Source organism: Homo sapiens, chromosome 8, assembly GCF_000001405.40.
Source record: "Homo sapiens chromosome 8, GRCh38.p14 Primary Assembly".
In the NCBI taxonomy this organism is placed as follows: Eukaryota; Metazoa; Chordata; class Mammalia; order Primates; family Hominidae; genus Homo; species Homo sapiens.
Window position 1 is genome coordinate 122,471,715 of NC_000008.11, and position 12,649 is coordinate 122,484,363.

Genomic DNA, 12,649 nt, shown 5'->3' on the forward strand with positions numbered 1-12,649 from the left:
TAAGCTAATAAACAACTTCAGCAAAGTCACAGGATACAAATCAACAAACAAAAATCTGTAGCATTTCTATACACCAACAACATCAAAGTCAAGAGCCAAATCAAGAACACAATCCATTCATAATTGCCACAAAAATAATAAAATACCTAGGAATACAGCTAACCAAGGAGGTGAAAAACCTCTACAAGGAGAACTACAAAGCACTACTCAAAGAAATCAGAGATGACACAAACAAATTTGTAAAAAATTCCATGTTCATGGATAGGAATAATCAATATTGTTAAAATGGTTATACTGCCCAAAGCAATGTATATATTCAATGCTATTCCTATTAAACTACAAATGACATTCTTTAAAGAACTAGAAAAATCTATTTAAAAAGTCATATGGAACTAAAAAAGAGCCCAAATAGCCAAGGTAATCCTAAGCAAAAAGAACAAAGCTGGAGGCATCATGCTACCCAATTTCAAACTATACTACAAGATTACAATAACCAAAACAGCATGGTATTGGTACAAAAACTGACACATAGACCAATGGAAGAGAATAGAGAGCTCAGACGTAAGGCTGCACACCTACACTATCTGCTCTTGGACAAAGCTGACAAAAATAAGCCATGGGGAAAGGACTCTCTATTCAATAAATGGTATTGGGGTAACTAACTATTTGCAGAATATTGAAACTGGACCCCTTCCTGACACCAAATGCAAAAACTAACTCAAGATGGATTAAAGACTTAAATATAAAACCCAAGACTACAAAATCCCTGAAAGACAACCTAGGCAATACCATTCTGGACACAGGAATCCACAAAGATATCATGACAAAGACACCAAAAACAATTGCAACAAAAGCAAAAATTGACAAATATGATCTAATTAAGCTAATGAGCATCTGCACAGAAAAAGAAATTATCATTAGAATAAATAGACAACCAATAGAACAGGAAACAATTTTGCAAACTATGCATCTGAGAAAGGTCTAGTATCCAGCATCTACTAGGAACTTAAACAAATTTACCAAAAAAAAAAAAAAAAAACAAAAAAAAACAGAAAAACAAACAACAAAAAACAACTCCATTAAACAGTGGGGAAAGGACATGAACAGACATGGTATTGGTACTTTTCAAAAAAAAAGACATACATGCAGCCAACAAACATATGAAATAAAGCTCAACAGCACTGATCATTAGAGAAATGCAAATCAAAACCACAATGAGATACCATCTCACACCAGTCAGAATGGCTACTATTAAAAAGTCAAAAATAACAGATGCTGGTGTGGTTGCAAAGAAAAAGAAACACTTATACACTGTTGGTGGGAGTGTAAAAATTAGTTCAGCTGCTGTGGAAAAAGAGTCTGGTGATTTCTCAGAGAACTCAAAGCAGAATTACCATTCGACCTAGCAGTCCTATTATTGGGTATATACCCAAAGGAATATAAATTGTTCTACCATAAAGACTCATGCACGCATAGGTTCATTGCAGCACTATTCACAATAGCAAAGACATGGAATCAACTTAAATGCCCATCAGTGCTGGACTGGATAAAGAAAATGTGGTACATATACACCATGGCATACTATGCAGCCATAAAAAAGAATGAGATCATGTCATTTGCAGGAACATGGATAGAGCTACAGGCCATTATCCCTAGCAACCTAATGCAGAAACAGGAAACCAAGTGCCACATGTTCTCACTTATAAGTGGGAGCTAAATGATGAGCAGACATGGACACATAGAGGAGAACAACAGATACCAGGGCCTACTGGAAGGTGGAGGGTGGGAGGAGGGAGATCAGGAAAATTAACTAATGAGTACTAGGCTTAATACCTGGATGACAAAATCATCTGTACAACAAATCCCTGTGATAAGAGTTTACCCATATAATAAACCTGCACATGTAACCCTGAACCTAAAATAAAAGTTTAACAAAAGAAAGATAGTAACAACCCTCACCTCACTAAAAAGTATCATCACTAAAAAGTAGTAAATGTTCAAAACAAGTGTTTTGATGATAATTAAGAAATTATCGTTTTCATTCCATGGCCATCCTTCCTTCTGGATTTTAATAAATATTTAAAAACAAAGGCAGAGCACATAATTCACATGAGATACTCAGCTAGATGTTTCAGTATGGCATACTGAGTTCTCACGACAATCCTGTAAAATACAGGGGGATCTCCACAAGGATACTGAAACTGAAACACAGGAAGGTTAAGATATTATGCAAAGACACACACAACCAGGTGGTCCAACTCAAATTTCTGTCTATTCTCTCTCTCTCTCTGCATTACCAATAATTCTTGATTAAGGTCTTCACTAGTGTTCTTGAATCTTTTAACCTTATCTTAAAAATGATTTTATCTTAATGAATGTATTTTTTTCTTTATATGGACTTTAAGTCACAATGCATATTTTTGACAATTCTTGTTCTATCTCTGTCTCTCTCTCTTTCCAATTTAGTCATCTTTCTCTAGGGCTTACCACTATATTGCATTAGGCTCTGTTAAAAAATAAACTTAGGTACATTAACATTTTAAAGGTTTATTTGAGCAAACAGGAATGCATGAATTGGTCAGTGCCAAACCACAGGCAGTTTGGACTCCACTGAGAAAATGACAGGGTAAAACTTTTATAAGGTGCTGGAAGAAGTGAAACAAAGAAAATATTTGATTGGTTAAAGCAGAAAGTCCCTAGTTAAAGATTGCTTAGTCGTTTCTGATTAGTTAAGCTTGTTTTGTTTTACTATTTACAGTGAGATGAGTTTCAGTTTGCTTACATAGGAACTCAAAGCATTGAAGTCGGCTCAGCCCAATGACCTCCCAATTAATTATTTTCACAGCTCCACCTTCTTTATTTTAATTTTTGATACAGGGTCTCTCTCTGTCACCCAATCTGGAGTACATTGGCTCAATCATGGCTCACTGCAGCCTCAACTTCTCAGGCTCAAGTGATCCTCCTACCTCAACCTCCGAAGTAGCTGAGACTAGAGGCCTGCGCCACACCTGGCGAAATTTTTTTTTTTTTTTTTTTTTTTTTTTTTTTTTGGTGTTTTTGGTATTTTTTGCAGAGACAGGTTTTGCCATCTTGCCCAGGCAGGTCTCAAACTCCTGGGCTCAAGCGATCCTCCCCATTTGGCCTTCCAAAGTATTGGGATTATAGGCATAAGTCACCATGCCCAGCCCATCTTAATTTTAGTATCAGCCACTGACTCTAAATATGGGACTAAAAAACTAAGGCCTCTCTTTCTCTAACTTGACTCCAACAGTTCATGCGGTAACAGCTCCCTTAAAAGTCTCAACAAATATTTCTGGATCTTCCTAGCAGGTATCTCTCATGTACTCAGGAATATAATAGATGATAGACAAATAGATGATATACAGATAGATGATAGATAGGTAGATAGATAGATAGATAGATAGATAGATAGATAGATAGATAGATAGATAGATATGGAGATAAAGCTTCCCTGTGGAGTCTTATTTCCCTCTTTGTCCCATCACAGTGGGTGTCACCATGTCAGCCTGCCATCCCTGTCCTTTGGGCTGTGTCAACCTATAATAAGAACATCTGGATGCGTCAGGCATGACCAGACCCTGCCATAGATGCACGGGAACCCTCGGGAGGGCAAGCCTGGCAGTGCTGTGGGAACATGTGGCTCATTTTTTTCTGAGAGGGCAAAGCAGAGCCACTGGGTGACTTGCAGCATTTTAAAATGAGAGAATGTCTCTTTTGCTCTGACTTACACTGCTAACTGCATCTCCCTCTCCATCTCAGTAGGACTCAATCATACACAGATGCTCCCCAACTTACAATGGGATTATGTTCTAACAAACCCATCATTAGATGAAAATGTCCTAAGTCAAAAACGCATTTAATACATCTAACCTACTGAACAGAGTAGCTTAGCCTAACCTATCTTAAACATGCTCAGAACACTTACAGTAGCCTACAGTTGGGCAAAATCATCTAACATGAGCCTATTTTATAATAAAGTATAGAATACTTCATGTAATTCACCAAATATTCAAATACAGCTTCTGCTGAATGCATATCACTTTTGCACCATCCTGAAATCCAAAAATCCTAAGTCAAACCATGGTAAGTCAGGAACCATCTGTATTTATGGGAACCTAGTTTGAAAAACTAATGTCAGTGAAAAATATTACAACAGCCCATGAATTTTGCATCCATCCTGAGGAGGAAGGTAAACTGGTCCCCTAGAATAATTTCCCCAATTCTTCCTTATGTGTCTCATCAGATCCTGAAGTATCAGGGGTTCAGGGAGACTCACATCTCAGTTATTCAAACAAGCCCAGGTAAATTTTCCCCAGGCTCAAGCCAAAGCTTGCCTCTTAAAAACTGCTAAAAAAAATCTAAAATTCATTTCTAGGACCAAACACATACAAGGAATTCTGATTTGCATGAGAGAGAGTACAATTCACCCTCAACCAACCCAGCACAGAGATGTCTTTCAACACCAACGCACTTTAACATGTATACCCCACTCACTGTTTAATTCCTGTACCCAGAGTCATACAGTTCTGTCATCATAGAAAACACCTCTGGGCAAACTAATTTTTCTTGAAGCCCAGCAAATAGTAACAACCTCCCACACCCTTTCAAAGACCTGCTCAACAGGCAGGTTTTTGTTGCGTGAAGTGGGAGTAGTGGTTGACTATGCAAGCATCATCAACCTTCACGATGCACAATCTAAGCTTGTGGTGGATCAATGTAGCCCCCAAACACCTCCATAATAGTGATAATTGTAACAGCTCTGTATAATACAACATAGTTTTCAAAATAAATGAGAGATATGCTGAGACAAAATACGAGAATGCTGAGACATGGGTTAGGTTATTTGTCCAAGGCAAGCTGGGATGCAAAGCAAAGTCTGGGTGCTTGCCATTTATTCACTGTTCTCCCCATTCCCCTCCCACCTCCTTCTATCTTCTATTGAAATTACAATTTCAGGCCTGGCCCTGATTTCTACTTTGGGAGGATCCCATGGTTTTGTACTTTTAGCACTAATTTTTCAATGTAGGTTTCCTAATCATTTACCCTGAGTGATTCAAAAGAAACATAAGGTAGATTCTTACCTTTGAAAAGCTTTCCCAAATGTCCATTAATGATAGACTGGATTAAGAAAATGTGGCACATATACATCGTGGAATACCACGCAGCCATAAAAAAGGATGAGTTCATGTCCTTTGTAGGGACATGGATGAAGCTGGAAACCATCATTCTCAGCAAACTATCGCAAGGACAAAAAACCAAACACCGCATGTTCTCACTCATAGGTGGGAATTGAACAATGTGAACACTTGGACACAGGAAGGGGAACATCACACACCAGGGCCTGTCGTGGGGTGGGGGGAGGGGGGAGGGATAGCATTAGGATATATACCTAATGTAAATGATGAGTTAATGGGTGCAGCACACCAACATGGCACATGTATACATATGTAACAAACCTGCACATTGTGTACATGTACCCTAGAACTTAAAGTATAATAAAAAAAAAAAAAGAAAATCTTTCAGTCTAGTTGAGGCTGTGACCAATGTCCAAGAAACAAACTGAGAGTAACGTTTATTGACATCAGTGTGGGCCAGCAGAAATAGGCATTTTAAAAAGGAGAGGTCACTGCCAGAAGGAGACACTTTAAGAAAATAAATCTCTTGTGTTTCTCTTTTTACCTTAGTTTCCAGAAAGCTCAAAACCAGATCTGAAGTTTAATTATCTCAATTTATAATTTCCCTTGAAGTATACATAGCTGTGATATTTTCATGCTCTCACGGCACTAGGGTGTGGCGGGGCAGGGTAATTTGTTATTTCTATTTTATATCTTTGCTGTTATTTTTTCTACTGACATCATAATGAAAATATCTGAGATAAAAGCTAATAATAATATTATAATAATAAACTAAAACTGTTAAGGAATACCCATTATAAATTTATATATACTTATACTAACTTATAAAATTTTTGCAACAACTTGTAAAAGTGAATACACCACAAAGTCTGACAATTAGGCAAAAGCATAGACTAGAAATTAAGTTAAGAAGCAACAGCAAATTATTCCAAGTGCTTGAAGTTAGCTGATTACTATAATCGACCATAATTTTTTTTCTTTAAATTTGATAACAACTGATATGTGGGAAGAAGGAGAAAAATAAACAAATACATTATATTTATTTTCTGATGAAAGACCACATGCCAACGTGACCAGTTCATACTAAGCTCAGCAGAAAAGCTTTGAGCATGTATTGAGTGCCCAGGACATATGCATAAATAAAAAAGGTTAATTTCCATAGTAAAGTGTTTCCCATGCAAATATGGGCAAAAGTTATATTGAGGTAATTCACAGACATACCAAAAGCCGGCTAATATATTAAAATATGATCTGCTTTATTGGTAATCATAGAAATTTAAAATAAAATAATTAGAAATCAATTTTACCTAGTAGATTGACAAGAAATTTAAGGATTGTTAATATGTTAGTAAATGTTGTGAAGAAAGGGTCACTTACTTTCATTGTTAGTAAAAGTATAAACTAATTCAATATTCTGGAAGGTGATTTGACATCCATTAGAATTTACAAGGTGCATCCACTTAGATGAGTAATTCAACTTCAATTCATCTGTGAAATCTCTCCTACCAAAATAATTGCACTTGGGCACAAAGATGTTCATTGCAGTATTGCTTATGATAGCAAAAGTTGGAAAGGATAGAAATCTCCATCAAGTCATTTCATAGTCACACTAGGTAACACAATGCAGCCTTTAAAAGAAAGGGACTTTTAAAATGAGGAACTGAATACTGAGGAATTGAATACTGAGGAACTGAATATTGCATTGTCATGGAAACCTCTCCATGATTTAGTGCTAAATGAAAAGTTAATGAATAGTAGTCATAGTATGATCCCATTTATGTTTTCTGGAGGGCTGAACGAGTGTGTGTACATGTACATATGTAGGCACAGAAATTAATAAAAAATAGGTGTGGATGGATAGGTAATAAAAGATAAAGTCATTATGTCTGGGGAGGGAAATAGGTGAATAGTGATATGAAGTGAGGAGTGGGGCTGAGAGAGGAGTAAGGGGAAGGGTGGACACAAGACTCCATATGCTTTGGTAATATTTAAATTTTCAATAATGAATACTCATTCACGAATACTATGTTATTTTTGAAATAAAATAAATTGAAAGTAACTAATTATATTGCAGTATGAACATGTCACCATCCTGGTCTTTATTGATAAACTAGACAGCTAAATTGCCCAGATTAACCATCCTGCATTCTGATTTGGCCACCCCCAAGAAGTGCACCTAAGCACTTCCACTCCCTTATGATCTCAGATTCTCAGCATTTTAAAGAATCTTAAGAGTCATCCAATCAATTATTTATTCAGTGCTTGAAGCCCCTCTTAAATATGTGTGCAATTGATCTTCCAGGTTTTGCTTGATAACTCCTCTCACTAGACAGTCATTGCTTCCCAGGGCTTCCTACTCTCCCTTCCAGCAGCTCTGCTGGGAAGGACTCCCTTGTCTTAAGACACAATATGCCTCTATCCCTAATCCTACAGACTCTTCTTTTTGTTTTTTCTTTTTTCTTCTTTTTCTTTTTTTTAAACGGACAAATAATAATTGTGTATATTTATGGTGTAATATGTGATGTTTTGATCTATGTATACATTACAGGAAGATTCCATCAAGCTAATTAATATATACATCACCTCATCAATTTATTATTTTGTTTGTGTGTGGTAAGAACATTAAAAGCCTATTGGAGAGTCTTTAAAAAGGCAGTCTCATAGAAATGGAAAGTAGAAAAGTGGTTACGAGGCAGGAGAATGGCATGAGCCCAGGAGACGGAGCTTGCAGTGAGCCGAGATCGTGCCACTGCACACCAGCCTGGGCCACAGAGCGAGACTCTTGTCTCAAAAAAAAAGAAAGAAAAGAAAAGAAAAGAAAAGTGGTTACCAGAGGCTAGCAGGAGAACGGAAGATGGGGAAAGGGGAGATGATAGTGAAAGGGTACACAGTTTCAGTTAGACTGGAGGAACACATTTTAGTGAACTATTGCACCGCATGGTGCCCTTGCACCACCCTGAGTAGAGCTTACAGACCCCTCTTCCTCCCTGAGAAGGAAGGTATTCTCAGTGAACACTGCCCCCGACCCTAAGTGAATTAGAAAGACTTTCTCTCTACCTAATGTCTGTCACAGCACTTACCACGCACTTACCATAATTATCTATCTACAAACCTAGACTGTAAGGCTTGAGCAGCAAGTACTTTTGTATCCCAGTACCTAGATCAGTGTCAAGCTCATAGGAGGTTCTCAGGCCCCATGGTGTAGTGGTTAAAAGTATAAACTTTATAATAATCCATCCAAATCTCAAACCCCTTTGCTAAATATAAGTTCTCATTTAGAGTAAGCAAAACATTTGAGGCTTCATTTCCTTAGTGGTGAGAATGAGATAAATATAGTAATATCTACTTCATAGTTTCCTTAAGAATATGAAATAAGAATAATGAATGAATGAGAAAAAGAATGAGTGAGCGAACCCATCCACCAACCAACTTCTCAAAGAACCCCACTGTCCCCAAAACTCTCCTTGTGTTCTGGAATTCTGTTAGAGCTTTTGAAAAAAGAAAGCACAGCTTAGATTTGGCTAAGACCAACCTGAATTCAATCAATTCTAAAACAAAATCAAGAAAGAAAAAAAGAAAGCCTGCATCAACCAGTCACTACTTTCTATTTTTCTAGGAGGTGGGAATATGGACAGGACTGATCTCTGTAGCTCCTTTTTTGAACTTGGGACGATCTCAGATCTCACCTGTGGCGATTTCACAGCATAGCAGTAGAGGGTTAAAACTTATATGAACTTCGTTTGAACTTTGTATGGGCTCCTCTCTTACTTTAAAAAGTTTTACATTAAACTTTGTAATGTAAGGAGAACATGCAATTTAAATTAAAGAATTGGAGGAGATTTGGGTATTTTTAAGCCTGGGTCAGCAAACTCCAAAGGCCTATAATTAGGTTTTCCCTCCATTTCTTCATAATCATTAAAACCATGAATGAGAATAAAGCTTAATCAGATAGATTGCCTACTCTTCCCTTAAGATATGGATCTATTATAGAAGCAAAATATCTTTAAGGATGTTTTGTAAATAACTCCCAAATATGCTGGGTTGGCCTAGCAGATTTGGTTGCAATATGAGATGATATATATAACAGATTAAAGCAATTCACCACGTATTTATCAGTAACTTTTATAAGCCTATGTTCCACATAAATTAAGAAAAATTATTTTTATAAACTGTATTATTTAAATGCTCTATGATAGCTACCTCTTCAATGGATCGTATCTTTACGATCTTGTTATATCCAGTACTTCTTCTCCAATGCCAATATTCTGCACCTCTCCCCTTGTCATGAGATAATCTGCTCATGACGCTATTCACCCGGGGAAGACTAGAACCATCCCCGCCTGCCACCACTGGCTTTTAAAAAGTTCTAAGGAAGATCAAGTTTGATGTTAATGTCTCCAGCCTGTCTATTCTATATTGTTTTGCTATTCTTTCAGCTCTCATTTTTTATATGGAAAAAGTTCAGACTTATTCTGGTCTGTCCCATCCTTATAAATGATTCTAACCACAAAAATATAAGATCATTCTTATTTTTTAGCTAAAAATGCACAGATTCCAACTTGAGGAAAGTGGCTCTTTATTTCTGATAATAGTTTCTCAAAATACATTTCTAAAATATAAGAAGAGAAACGATTGCCCAATTTCAAGCCTGTATTCTATCTGATAGTAACACCAAAAGGTACATTTAGGGCAAGAAATGAAAACGATAGTTTGGAAAATCACCTCTAAAGTCTATAATTACTCTTAATAAGTCATCATTTTTAGGCTATGTTCACGTGGCCCATACACATCTGACTTTCTCTAGTATGTGCAGCAGTCTGATTTATCTAGTGGGAAATACACAGGTGGGATCTTGGTGCTTCAGATTCTAAGTAACATTATAGAACTCAGACGATGTGTTTATGCATCATTTTCCTTATCTATGAAATGGAACCTTAATGATGGCCAGCCACACACTGTGTTACACTGGAAAGGGGAAAAATCATCAAGCTGGCTTCTGAGATCAGAGAAGGAGAATTTAATCAGCCAATTACAGATGTGCCTGCCTCTGTATAATATATATAACAGATTAAAGCAATTCACCGTGTATTTATCAGTAACTTTTATAAACCTATGTTCCACATAAGTTAATAAAAATTATTTTTATAAACTGTATTATTTAAATGCTCTATGATAGCTACCTCTTCAATAGATCGTATCTTTAAAAATATTTAAAGCAAATAAGATGGTCAAATTGTAATATATCAATGTCAAACACCCCTTTGTAGCTGGAAAGTAATGTAACCACTAGGCGAAGAAGAGAGAAACAAACTTCCCTAGACACAAATTAGTTTTGTTGGTAAAGATTTGGTTTCTTCATGGCAAAAAACAAAAAAAGTGATTATATAACAAATTACATGACCCAGCATATAATAATTTACAACATAGCATTTTCTCAGTCGATCAATTAAGACTCTCAATGATGTTGTATAGTTACATAAAGCAGGTGTATGTTGTACGGATAAAGATACAGTCTCTAGGTATGTCACAGTGATTAAGAGTCTTGCACGGGTTTACTCAGTTAGCAAGTGGAAGAGTAAAAACTCCACTCTTGTTATATCCAGTACTTCTTCTCCAATGCCAATATTCTGCCCCTCTCCCCTCATCATGAGATAATCTGCTCATGATGCTATTCACCCGGGGAAGACTAGAACCATCCCCACCTGCCACCACTGGCTTTGAAAAAGTTCTAAAGAAGATCGAGTTTGACGTTAGTGTCTCCAGCCTGTCTATTCTATATTGTTTTGCCATTCCTTCAGCTCCCATTTTTTAGAGGAAAAAATTCAGACTTAAAAATAACAACTTTCTGGAGATCTCATACATACATCAGTTGATGAGCAAATCTATGCCCACCTTACTTCAAGCCATGATGAGTAAAATATAGTAGTGAAGAACCCTAGATTTGGAATCAGAGGAGTCTGTTTCAAATGCCAGTTCCATCAACCACCAACTGTGTGACTGTGAACCCCCTAGGAGCCTCAGTAGCATAATTTCTTGTAGTTATTCAATTAAACTATGCATACAATATAGTACCTTAAAAAGTAGCTAAGATACAATTGTAATACATCAAGCTGCTTTAAAGAAATGTACTATGGACTACAGGATTTTAGGCACCAGATTTGTGATGAAGCTTAGGGGGTCCTCTCAGAATACCAAAATTCACATCACATAGAAATATATATTTTCTGTAGGGAGCAGAGCCAGGGATGGAACCACAATAGGTCTTCAAGTCCATGAAGCCACCACCATGAACCACCATCTCCTCCCCTAGAGCCCTGCTCCCTTCCTTCTGCAGCTGCCCAGTGATTCCCTCCATCCTGAAGTCACTGCTGTAGAGAATGTTGGGAAGCAGCAGGTTTGAGAGGGTAAGCATGATAGTGGAAAGCAGACAGGTCCCTCCAGGTACTCTAGACTCAAAGATGGATGTTTCCCTTTGAAGAGGTCACCAGGATGGCTATCAGTGCTAACTATAAAAGGATGGCCTCATAGTATGAGATTTACACAAGGACAGACACCTTCTGTCACAACATAAGAAGGCTCAAGAGGAAGAGTGAGGTTCCCCTAAGGTCTTCAGAGTCCTAGTCATGTTCCCCAAAGTAAGGATCTAAAAACAGGAAACGGGTTTCTTATGATCATTTGCTCTTCCTGCCTCCTTACTGTCTAAAGGCAACTGATGCTGATTCATAATGCCAGGACAGCCATGCCACAGTCACCATCCAGCCCGTGATGGAAATGGAGTGGACTCTCGTAGGACAGATGTGGGTGTGAATCCCAGGCTGTGTTAAACTGAGTAAGTAATTTAAGGTCTCCAAGCCTCAGGCTTTAGCTTATGAAATGTATCATTAAAATGTACTATTATTATTACCATCCATTTTTATTATGCTTGTTTCTGTTATCCGCACTAAAAGAGACACATTAATTTTCTTGCTACATTTATGAGAGTATATTCTTTATTTCCCATTTGCACCTCAAGATCCACTTTCCACCCATCTACTCTGTGCCCCAGAAAATCTTCTATAATCTGTGTCAACATGTTCCCTTGCCCTCTAGTTTTCAGTTTTGTTCAGCTGAAGTTGGGGAGTGGATATTAGAGATGACAGAGAATGGGGGTGAGGTGTCCAGACTCCTGCTCTGCCAGGCTACTATGGGTTAGTTATGTCCCTTTACCAAAAGCCACAGCTCCTATAACAGTATCCTTTTAAAGCATCTCTCTCCAGGTTACAGTAATTGTTCCCTCTCCTTGCCTCTTCCGTCCTGGGGATGATAATGGCTCCACATTCTTGGTGCACTACGGTACTGCAGTATGCCTTGTTGATTTCCTTAAACTCTGCCTACACCTTTATAAACAGTCTCTATACTAAATTCTCTGTAATTACCCAATTTGAGTGAGCCATTATTTTCCTATAGGGGCCTTGACATGTATATCCATAAACTACATAATTAGATCAAAGTAG

At 37.4% G+C, this 12,649-nt stretch overlaps 1 long non-coding RNA gene across 1 annotated transcript in view; it reads right to left on the minus strand.

Annotated features, from left to right (window-relative positions):
- The window catches only part of SMILR (smooth muscle induced lncRNA, enhancer of proliferation), a 154,318-nt gene that overhangs the window by 57,388 nt on the left and 84,281 nt on the right, over positions 1-12,649 (minus strand). The gene's annotated exons all lie outside the window — the stretch shown is intronic.